The sequence below is a fragment of the Homo sapiens genome, chromosome 2 (assembly GCF_000001405.40).
Source record: "Homo sapiens chromosome 2, GRCh38.p14 Primary Assembly".
Lineage (NCBI taxonomy): Eukaryota > Metazoa > Chordata > Mammalia > Primates > Hominidae > Homo > Homo sapiens.
In genome coordinates, this window is record NC_000002.12 from 27820949 (window position 1) to 27833262 (window position 12314).

The following is a 12314-nucleotide window of genomic DNA, read 5'->3' on the forward strand; positions in this document are numbered from 1 at the left end:
AGAATCGCTTGAACCGGGGAGGCAGAGGTTGCGGTGAGCCGAGACTGCGCCACTGCACTCCAGCCTAGGCACCCAGAGCAAAACTCCATCTCAAAAAAAAAAAAAAAAAAAAAAAAGATTAGTACTGTCAAATTTCCCCTCTGGAAACACTGTACAAATTTACATTCCCACCAGAATTACATGATTGTATAATATTTGTTTTGTGATCTATTTGGACTTAAACATTCTCAAATTTTAATTTTGGCCAAACTTATGGGTAATAAAGAGGACCTCACTGTTATTTTAATGTGTATAATCCTGACTTCTAATGAGGTTAAGCATTGTCTCATTTCTTTATTTTTTTCGTATTTCTTATTCAGTGACTTGCCTATTTATATTATTCTAGGGAAATACTTGATTTTTTTAGTTGTAATTACACTATTTTTTAGTTGTAATTTTTTGTTGTAATATGTGCAATTACACATATTAATCCTATAATATTGCAAATATTCAAATTAGCTGTAAGTAGATATTCAAAAGTGTATGACTATGCATAGAAAAAAATCTGGAAAGATTTACACCAAAAGGTTAACAATTACTTTTAAGTGGATGGGTCATGGATACTTGACTTTCTTCTTTATACCTTTCTGTGTTGCTGCTCTCCTTCCCTCCTTGAACACTAAAGTATGTATTAATTTCACAAGTAGGAAAAGCCCCAATAAAGTGATTAGTGGAATAAAGGTGATAATGAAGGCTCTCAAGGCAATTCTAACAGAGGATTTCCAAAGGCACTTTGAGTAGTAGCTGTGTCAATAGAGTAAGTCTCCTAAAGTCAGGGTTTGAAGGAAACAACAGTCACTTCTTGGATAAGAAAAATTGACAGTGCAGTTCAAAATTAGCCTTATTACTTTACCTCTTCAGCACCCAAGATTCGACCATTTTTTAAACCATATTATTTTACCCACCCAGCCCTTTCTCAAGTGTTGCCAGTAAACAGTAAGGGACACCGAAACATCTTGGCTATAACAGAAGCTTCTGGACAGAAATGTGCAAAGGCTCTATTCAAGGACAAAATGGCTTTTGAGCCATAAATCCCCTCAGAAACTCAACTAATTACTACATGCAAAGAAAGTATATGTTGATCAGAAAGAAGGAGATGAGAAGAAGAAGAAGAGTCTGCTGGGGAAACACAGTTCAAGGAAAGTCACGGAGACTAGTACTGGCAGTACCCATGCAAGAACTGCTGAGTATTCAGTCTTCCCAGCAGGACTATGGCTAAGCAGGGAACAGGGCCTCATGTTGCCTGGGTTGAGAAACACCTCTTGAGATCACCTCAATTCATTAGTTCTGAGTACATTTTGCAATATTAGTTTGACTTTCTACTGGTGGCAGTGACAAGGGTGGGGAGAGGAGAATGTAGGGTGGAGGAAAGGTCACACCAAGTTGGGAATGATGGCCCCTCAGATGCTAGGTTTTCAAAGATTGAACTGTCAGTCTGGATAGGGCCTAAAAGGTGGGTCCATTAACCCCATCCTTGAGACAGCCGGGATGGCCGCGGGCCAGACCCCAGGATGAGAGGAATACAAGAGGCCACCTGGGAAACCTGCAAGTAACCTGCCAGCCCCAGCAATCACCTCATCCTAAGAAAGTGCTTCCGTGCAAACTTTAACAGAAATTATCTCTACTTCTTACTGGTGCAATCCTAATTTAGAGTTAACTCTCAAGCTCTGAGTAGTTATGGGACACCCATGCAGCTGGCTGCTGCTGCCTAGTGCCTCATCAGCAACTCTGAACACTATAGGACTCAAATGTGAAGGATAGAAAGAAAGGAGAATAAAGAATAGGAAAGATAAATTCCCTGTGCCCCTGGCTTTTGTTTGTTCTCAGCTTACTTACATACCCATGCGTTATTACAGAGTGAGTGATTCTTGAGAAGACAGATTTAGCCTACGGACTAAATTCTTGAGAGTGTTATTGTAGATTCCAGGACTTAACCATTTACATAAAGAAAAGCAATTTATATGTCAAGAATTTCAGTGCTTATAAAGCAGGGATAACTAATGTTATAATATATCACAGTAGCACAATAATCCTAAAATATACCATGCTTAGGTGTGTGTCTCTGACTATGGAGTGCTTACTCAGTGCAATCCCAAATGCAAGCAGGCAAACCCCCTAACATTCAGGTTGGAAGAAGAGAGGGCGGACATGCACTCTCTGTCATTTGGAGGCTGAGATTCAGATAACATATAGAAATGGGAGAAGAGACACATCTGTCATGTCTTCCAAACTGAGCTGAGGACATCTGCAGCTACTGCCACCATCTCACTCTAGTACAACGGGAAAAACAGATGTAAAAATAGAAGTGATATATTCAACTATTAACAGTGAGGCAAAACTGAATATAGCAGTCTGCAGAAGCACTGACGTAGAACGGGAAATGGCTTCTTCTAGGCAGGCTGTCTGCCTTGAGTGGACAACATGCCAACTAAAGATGTTTCCAGCACCCATGTCATCCCTGACTTTTTAATAAGGGATTAGGAGGAAGAGAAAAGCGAGAAGGTTACAAACCGACTGAGAGCAAGTAATACCCTCCTGACAGAAAAGTGAAGGAGCCCATTTGTTCAGAAGAAAATGCCTCCCTGGGAGCTCCTCACTCGCCACGTGAATTACCTTCTCTTTATCAGATTTATGAAGAGGCTGCACAGCTGTGTGCAGAACAGGTAAGAATTTTAATAATGAAAGTGCTGGATGAGAGGACGAAGACAGCATAAAAAAGATGAGGAAGATTCTAGACCCAGAAAATCACTACCCTGGTTCCTGTCAGTGTCACTGCTGCTCCACCTGGGGGATGCTGAGAGTCCATTCACGCATATTCAGCAGGGCAATTCAGTGGAGAGTCTTTATCACGAATATCCATTCATAAGTGAATTGCTTAGGTGGAGCTTTTTTGTTGTTGTTTGAAATATAATTCATGCATCATAAAATTCACTCTTTAAAGGGGTATGCTTTAGTGTTCTTTAGTATTACCCACAAGCTTGTCCGACCATTACCACTGATTCCAGAACATTTTCATCACCCCAAAGAGGAACTCCATACTCATTAGTAGTCACTCTCCATCCCCTTCCAGCAACCATCAGTTGACTTCCTGTCTCTATGGATTTATAATACCTATTCTGGATATTTCATAGAAATAAAATCATAATATATGACCTCTTATGCCTGGCTTCTTTTACTTAGTAGTATGTTTTCAAGGTGCATCCATGTCATAGCATGAATCAGTACTTCATTCCTTTTAAAAAAGAATTATTTAATAATTCACCTATTTTAACATAAATAACTCAGTGCATTTAGTATTGTCACAATGTTGTACAATCACCGACCTCTTATCTAGTTTCAAAACATTTCCATTACTCTAAAGTAAAACTCCTTACCCATTAGGCAGTTTCTCCCCATTCCTCCTCCCCCTAGTCCCTAGCAACCACCCATCTATGCTCTGTATCTATGGATTGATCTATTCTGAATATTTCATTTAAATGGAATCATATAATATGTTAACACTTTGTGTCTGGCTTCTTTCACTTAGCATAATGCTTTGGAGGTTCATCCATGTTGTTGTATGTATCAGTATTCTTTTTAATGGCTGAATAATATTCCATCGTATGGATATACCACAATTTGTTTATCCATCATCTGCTGATAAACACTGGGTTCTTTCCAATTTTTGGCTATTATGAATAATGCTGCTATGAACATTCACATACAAGTTTTTGTGGACACATGTAAGGCTTAAGTATAAATGCCCAATCCCTCTCCATTCCCATTTTCATGAGGCAAATACTTTAAATTCTTTTAGTGGTTTCTTCTGGTAATTATCTGATGTTTCTGGCAATACACTTATACTGCTTTTAGAAAACCAGTTTTAGGGTTGGGCATGGTGGCTCATTGCCTATAATCCCAGCACTCTAGGAGGCTGAAGTGGGTGGATTGCTTGAGCCCAGAAGTTTGAGACCATCTTGGGCAACATGGCAAAACCCTGTCTCTACTAAAAATATAAAAATTAGCCAGGCATGGTGGCGTGTACCTGTAGTTCCAAACACTTGGGAGACTGAGGCAGGAGGATCACCTGAGCCTGGGAGGCAGAGGTTGCAGTGAGCCAAGATGGAGCCACTGCACTCCAGCCTAGGCAACAGAGTGAGAACCTGTCTCAAAAAAAAAAAAAAGTCAATTTTAGATATTATCTCTTGAGTTCCAATTATGGAAAATAAGCATTTAGTTTTCTTATGTCCCCCCATGTGCAAATGCACACTCACTTTATCCTCCCATCTTCACAATATTATTCTAATCTCCATTTCTGGTTAAATCTAGAATTAGCATTTACATTGTTATGACTATGCATTTATAGCATTTATAGCCACGTCATGTACAAAGATTATATTCACTTAATCATACTTTTTCCCCTTAGGTTCTAGATGACCTAGAAGGGAAAATTTGCTTTACTTAAACATTTTCCTCAGTTTCCTATGTACCAATTAATAGTTCATCTTCAAATTCTGCAAGAAAATGAAAAATCTCTAGATATATTAAAACACACTGGACATTCTACTGTTTTCTTGTCAGCATCCACTTCCCTATCCTCTGATAAGAGTGATTTGTATCTGAAACCAGGGACAGGGACATGACATGAGACACAGCGTGGGTAGGGAGTGGACCCACCTGAGCTCATAGCCCACTATGAGGAAGGCAGAGCTGACAGGGAGGGAGCCAGTGAGCAAGTGACCTGACTTGCCTGGATGACACTGTTCAGCCTCTGCATTCTGCCATATCTTTACACTTTGCAATTATGTGCACCAAATAAATCCTTTTTCCTGCATAAGCCTGAGTTGTGCTTCTGGTGCTTACAACCCAAAGGGATAGTAACTAACATGGACACTGAGAATAGGGGCTAAGCCACTTCTGTGCATCCATGTAGGTCTTTGAGGAATCCTCATTTTACTTTTAGCAGGAGATGCATAGAGTCTTTTCACTTTAGTGAAAGTAGTGTTAGTCTAATGGCGGATTGATTTCAGAACTAAGGATCCCCTCAAATTCAGGTTCTTGTCCTTGACAAAACAGAAAATAAACTAATAGTTTCAGAAATGACTAAATATGAAGAGAATAGCAACACCAAGCACACTTTATCAAATACCTGGTAAAGCACATTTTGAAAGGCAACCAGGATGTTAATTTCATGTCACATAACCATTTCTTGCACTTGAATATTTTTCAAAGTATATTCACATCCAAAACTTCATCAGATCCCCTCAGCCTTCTTTTTTCATAATGACCCACATTTTAAAGTCGCTTCTAAGCATAAAAACAAACCAAAACATATTTTATGAATAATTATCTGTTTCTTCTAAATAAAAACTCTAAAATGTTTATTCTTCCTCAAGTCTAGTTTACTTACTTTTCTAGTCAGCTCTCCTGAATCTGTTTTTCTTTTCTTTTTTTTTTTTTTGAGACGGACTCTCGCTCTATTGCCAGGCTAGAGTGCAGTGGTGCAATCTTGGCTCACTGCAACCTCTGCCTCCCAGGTTCAAGTGATTTTCCTGCCTCAGCCCCCCAAGTAGCTGAGACTACAGGTGTGCACCACCATGCCCAGCTAAGTTTTGTATCTTTAGTAGAATGGGGTTTCACCATGTTGGCCAGGATGTTCTCGATCTCTTGACCTCATGATCCGCCCACCTCAGCCTCCCAAAGTGCTGGGACTACAAGTGTGAAGTGGCGCCTGGCAAGCTCTTCTGAATTCTAACAATAAACAAACAATTTGTGTTTCCCCAGCTTTAGGGGAACCATGAGTCTTTTTTCTAACTTGTTTCCTTTTCATTCCTACTCTGTAGCCATGGCTTGTTCACTTAGCACACTTGTCCTCAGCACAGTACCTTACATAAAAAATGTCTGTGTGGAGTCCATATGCCTAGTTTCGAATCTCCAGCTCTGTTACCTACCAGCAATGTGATCCTGTACAAATTTCTTCTTCTGTAAAATGGAAATAATACTTGTCTCACAGAATTGTTTAAAGATTAAATGAAAAAAAAGATTAAATGAGATGTATGCAAAAGAGACACAGCAAGCATGCAGTAAATGTTAGCTGCTAGAATTTGTTGGTTAAAAGAATGATCTCTGCTAACCAGTGCTCCTTGCTGTTCATTTCACTGGAGAAGCTTGTAAGACACAGCTACTTGTTCACTGCCTAGAATCTAAGCCCGACAAGGGCAGAGACTTTGCCTTATTTATTGCTATATCCCCAGCAACTATCATATGACTGGGACATGATAGGTATTCCACAAATCCCTATTTGTTGATGAATGACTGGATAAATGAATGAATACAGGTAACACAGGTATAATTTTACTGCTATTCTGATTTTATGAATGAGGAAACTACGTCTCAGAGAGGTCAAGCTGCTTGCATAAAGTCCCACAGAGAGTTAGAGAGGGATTAAAATACAGTTCCCCTGCCTGGTTGTTCTTCTCTTTTACCATATCACTTACTAGGGCTTTGTTTCATTATCCAAAAATTCAGGTACAGCATCTAATTAGTTACTAAGTAACAATTTTCAAAGGCTAAACATGATTCTTAAATTTTAAAACTTACCGTGGTATCCACAGCCTTGACTTTCTCTGTGGGAATGTGCTTTGGCTCAGGTTCTGTCTGTGACAGCACCACACATCCTTCAGCCCCTAAGGTAATGATTACCACCTGGCAGCCCCTTTTCAAGAGCACTAATGCAGCCTCCCCAGCATCTGCAGCGCTGCCCACCGTGAGGCCAGTTAAAATCTCAGCCTAGAATACACAAAAGTCAACAGAAACAGTGGTGAAAATAAGTAACCTGAATCCACTTCCAGATGCGTTTTTCTAGAAAATGTCTCCCTTCTTTTTTATAACAACCAATGCAATGGGAACCTTGATAGATACTGGTACAGGAAAATAAATAAAGCAATAACAGTGATGACAAAAACCATCAATGAAAGACATTCTGGGGACAACTGGGGAAATTTGAATGTGGCTTGGATATTAGATGATAGCATGGAATTACTGACAATCTTCCTAGGTGTGATAATGGTATTGTGTTTCCTCTTAGGAGATGTATGCCGAAGTATTTGGGGTGAGGCATCATGTTGTCTGCAACTTATTCTCAACAACAAAATACTTTTTTTTCCACTTACTTTTCAACAAAAACAAAACTAAATACATACAGGGAAGAGGAAAAGCAAATACAGCAAAATGTTAGCAAATGTTTAGGTGAAATGTAGAGTGTTCATTCAGCTTTTCTGCACATATAATAATTTTAACAAAGAGTTGGGGCAACAAAGAGAAGTCTACCAAAAAAAAAAGAAAAAGGAAGGTTGGAGGGGAGGCAGGAAAGGAGAAAGGAAAGGGCCACTGCCAAGAATTTTAGCATAAATTGCACCTGTAAGTTTGGCACCTAAGGACATAATTCTTCCAAGCCTCTCTTGGGCCATAATGCCTCTTCTCAAATTTCCAGTTTTTGCTTTCCATGTTTGCAGACTACTTATTTCTTTTGTTTGTTTTTGCCAGAGAAGATGGAAGCAGATTAGGAGAGGTAATGACAGGTAGCAGAAAACGCAATGCCCTGGCATTCAGGAGGCCTCTCCTACTCATTCAGTCTGTGACCTTCCCCACACCAATTACAATCTGTAAAATCAGGGGGCTTTCAACAAGATCCATATTTTTCTCCCAATTTCTCTTTCAATATACTAATTTTTCATTCCATTCTAATGTTTATTTTTCTACTGAGTGATTTAAAAACATTTCCATGACTTTTTAGGTTTTCAAGACTTCTAATTGGTTGTTTTTCATATTCACATGTTGTTGCTTTGATTCTGTTTTTCTTTCACAAAATTTTTTCTTCTTTCATAATGAATGTTAATCTTAATTATACTATTTAAAGTATTTTTTGCATTGTTTATTTATTTAGAGATAGTATCTTGCTCTATTACTCCAGCTGGAGTGCTGTGGCATGATCATAGCTCACTACAGCCTCAAACTCTTAAGCTCAAGCAATCCTTTTGCCTCAGCCTCCCAAATACTGGGACTCCAGGCATGCACCACCACACACAGCTAATCTTTTATTTTTGTAGAGACAGGATGAAGTCTCATTATGTTCCGCAGGCTGGTCTCAAACTCCTGGGTTCATGTGATTCAACTGCTTTGGCCTCCCAAAGCACTGGGATTACAGGTATGAGCCACCACGCCTGGCTGAATTTTATTATATGAATTTCATCTTGGGCAAATTCATCTGTAGGTTGTTGATTGTGCTGGGTGAATTTTGTAGCATTATGTTTTTCATTTGCAGGCTCACTTTACTTACTGTGAGTTGGAAAGCTGTCACACATCAGTTCCCACCTGGTTGATCCCTGCTTTTCAGTGTTTTTTTTTTTTTTTTTTTTTTGAGACAAGAGTCTTGCTCTGTCACCCAGGCTGAAGTGCAGTGGGGAGATCTCGGCTCACTGCAACCTGTGCCTCCCAGGTTCACACGATTCTCCTGCTTCAGCCTCCTGAGTAGCTGGGACTACAGGTGCATGCCACCACACCTGGCTAATTTTTGTATTTTTAGTAGAGATGGGTTTTCACCATGTTGACCAGGATGGTCTCGATCTCCTGACCTCGTGATCCACCTGCCTTGGCCTCCCAAAGTGCTGGGATTACAGGCGTGAGCCACCACGCCCAGCCCTCAGTGGTTTTACAGTAGCTTCCCCCAGGTACACAAGAGTCTCTAAACCAAAACCAGGTATTATATTGGCAATAGGGAGTTCTTGCTCTGCTGTTTCTGGGGCTACTGCCAGTCCAGTCACTAAGTCAGTGGTTGGCTTGGTTTACTTCTTGGTCAGAGGCTGTGTCTCTGTCCTGCTAACTCCTCAGTTTGGGGGCCTTAAATATGCTTCAGGCAGCAGGGGTAGCAGGTTCCTCCCCCTTTCACTGTTAGCAGGGGAGCCACAGCCTAGCATGTATGGTTTCCATCTGTGGGCTCGGCTCCAGTCCGCTATAAATGGCACACTTTTAGTATCCATGACCCACAGCGGGTGAACTTCCTGCCACTTCTGCCTGTTTCTGGGGCTAGTGTACAGCCAGCATATCAAGGGCTGAATGCTCTGTGAGGCTGTTCCATTTCTGATCTGTGGAGTTATTTATCTTGTTTTAGAGCTTGTAAGTATCTTTTCATTGTGTCCATTAGTATTTACATATCAGTGGTTTGTGTTTGGAGCAGAGTGAGTATCATAAGCATGAATTTACATTATTGCTGTGATTAGAGTTCATCTATAAGAACATTAAGCTTTTTTTTTTTGAGACAGAGTCTCCCTGTAGCCCAGGCTGGAGTGCAGCCGCCTGATCTTGGCTCACTGCAACCTCCACCTCCCAGGTCCTGGTTCAAGCAATTCTCCTGCCTCAGCCTCCTGAGTAGCTGGGCTTACAGGCACGTGCCACCATGCCCAGCTAATTTTTGTATTTTTAGTAGAGACGGGGTTTCACCATGTTGGCCAGGCTGGTCTTGAACTCCTGACCTCATGATCTGCCCACCTTGGCCTCCCAAAGTGCTGGGATTACAGGCGTTAGCCACCGCGCCTGGCTCCAGAACATTAAGCTTTTAATGTTTTTCTTTCTTCCATTAAGTTTCTGAGACCAGTTTCCTTAAAGACCAGAGTTCTTTCATTTATTTATTTCATAAGCATTTACTAAGTGCCAGCTATGTGCAGGTACAGTGTAGCAGATGTTATTTTCCAAAGATAACTGTATTAACCTATATCATATCACACATCCTGGTTTTACACTGTGCCAATGACAATCTTCTAGTAAGGGGTGGGGTACTAGGGTGGACCTTCCTGCTTAAATCAATAGAATGAGTCAGAAGTGATGCCGTGTTACTTCCGAAGCTAACTCATAAAAGCCAACATGGCTTCTGTGTCTCCTTCTCACGGGAAGCTGGATCTTGAAACCCAGCTACCATATTATGAGGAAGCCCAAGTCACACGTAGAGGCCATGTTTACATGTTCTGGCCAACAACCTCATTATGCCCCCAGCTGAAAGCCAGCATCAACTGTCAAGCAGGTGAATGAAGAAAAGTTCCAGCTCTCAGCCTTTGCGTCTTCCAACTGAAGCCCCAGGCATCGCGTGGGAGAGTCAAACCATGCTATCCCCTGTGTGAATTCCTGACATGCAAAAACTGAGAGTGACAATAAATAATTATTGCTGTTGTAAGCCAGTACATTTTGGAGGTATTTTATTATGCAGCAATAGATAACTATATACACAGGGATAGCCATCAGGGATACAACAGTGAATAAGACAGATGTCTCTGACCTCATGGAACTTGTAATTTAATGGAGAAGACAGAAGAATTGAATAAGTAATTTGAGCTGTGATGAACATTTGAGGAATAAATAGAGTGCTCTTCAAGTATCTAGCAGGAAAATTTAGGCCAGTTTGGCAGTTGAGGGTACTCTAACCTCTTATTGTGAAATGATCGCTATTTCCCACAATTCCTTCTTCCTAGCATGGTGGTTGCTCAAAAATATTGCATAACCTATTGTGGTTTGTTAAAATTAGTTTCTTTGTAGCAGTCTTCTTTCTTGTTTCCTCTATGTTTTGAGAGATGAAATTATCAAGAAAGCAGGTCAAGAAATCCTAAAAGCCTTCATATAGACTTTAAACCAAATGGAAAATTAGGCTGGGTACAGTGGCTCACACTTGTAATCCCAGTACTTTGGGAGGCTTGATTTAGCCCAGGAGTTCGAGATTAGCCTAGGCAACATGGCGAAATCCCGTCTCTACACAAAATAAAAAAATTAGCCAAGCGTGGTGGTCCCAGCTACTTGGGAGGTTGAGGTGGGAGGATTGCTTAAACCTGGGAGGTAGAGGCTGCAGTGAGCCATGATGACACCACTGCATTCCAACCTGGGTGAAACAGTGAGTTCCTGTCTCAAAAACAAAAAGTAGAAATTTAACTATTATGGTTCATTAATTTCTTTCTCTCCATGTTGCCTTTACTAACGTGTATACCTGCATCCCATTGATGGGCGAGAGCTCTGTTCTAATGCTGTCTGGCTTATAAAAAGGGAGAAATATTGAAATTTTCTTCCCAACAATATTTAAGAAAGGGTGGTACAATATCCTTTCTTATTGTACCAGTTGATAGATAGTCTGTTCAGATGATACATCATGACACAGGGTCTTCACTACAGAATGTAGCAGATCTTCCAGGAGTTGTATACTAATTAGCGTTTGGCAGACAAACTACAGGAAGCTCAGTTAAATTTGAATTTAAGATAAATGACAGGTAATTTTACAGTATAAATTTGTTAGGTATGTTATTTATTATCTATCTGAAATTCAAATTTAACTGGGCATCCTGCATTTTTACTTGCTAAACCTGGCAACTTTAATATAGTCCTCAGAACATGAAATAATTAGAAAAGAAAACAAAACACCAACAGTGTGAGGGCAAGGAAGGGACTAAAATTAACTGAGGTTTGATAAGTGCCAGAATATGGAAGTGACTCAGAGAATCCTTTTTTCCCCCCTAGGATTTACTAATTTCCTTTTCTCCACACCCCGGTAAACTGAAAAAATCTGTTTTCACCATGCCTGAGAATTCACGTCATCAAATTGATGTGGTTAGTTCTGCCCCTTTGCTTTATCCACTTGTACAAACTTTTGGTTTCTCATAGAATGAGCAAAGCAATTCACCCTTACCTCACTTTCATTGCAGCAGAACACATCTGAGAGGGTGTAGAACTGGGGATCCAGGTCAGCAATGGCAGGGGCTGGATTGAACAAGGTTTTCACTACAAAGGAATGGAAAAGGGGGTTATTATTAGTTTTCATTTTTAACATGGTGCATTTACAGACAACATTCAGTAGGGAAAATCCCCGAGTTCGTTTTTGTCTTCATCTGGTTAAATATCCACTTAGTTACGGATGTAGAGAAAAGTCTGAAATCTCAATCTTCACGACAGCTGGGTACCAATTCCCTATTTCCATTTTCTTTACTTTGTACTTTACAACATTTCAGCTTCCAGGGAAAAGAGCAATATAACAGTCAACGTGATTATAGAGTTAAGGCAAAGGCAACAGGAACATTAGAGAAAAGTAAAAATGCTGTGGCATGAAAGGGCATGTGTGAATGTGAACAGGCTGGTGGACATTTTTGTGGGTTACTTTAAGTGCTTGGTTTCAAGGCTAGTTCATAAACCCATTTTCCAGGGAAGAAAAAGAGACGATAGAAAATAAACAATGAAAGGTTCAGAATTCTCCCGGTGGGAACAGTAAG

At 40.3% G+C, this 12314-nt stretch overlaps 1 protein-coding gene across 2 annotated transcripts in view; it reads right to left on the reverse strand.

The window, feature by feature from the left end:
- RBKS (ribokinase) overlaps window positions 1-12314 on the reverse strand; it is a 109009-nt gene that overhangs the window by 39570 nt on the left and 57125 nt on the right. For both annotated transcript variants that reach the window (NM_022128.3, NM_001287580.2), the window contains 2 exons: window positions 11738-11829; window positions 6619-6807 (listed from right to left, as the gene is read on the reverse strand). In NM_022128.3, the coding sequence (NP_071411.1) occupies window positions 6619-6807; window positions 11738-11829 (281 nt within the window). The remainder of the gene's footprint in view (window positions 1-6618; window positions 6808-11737; window positions 11830-12314) is intronic.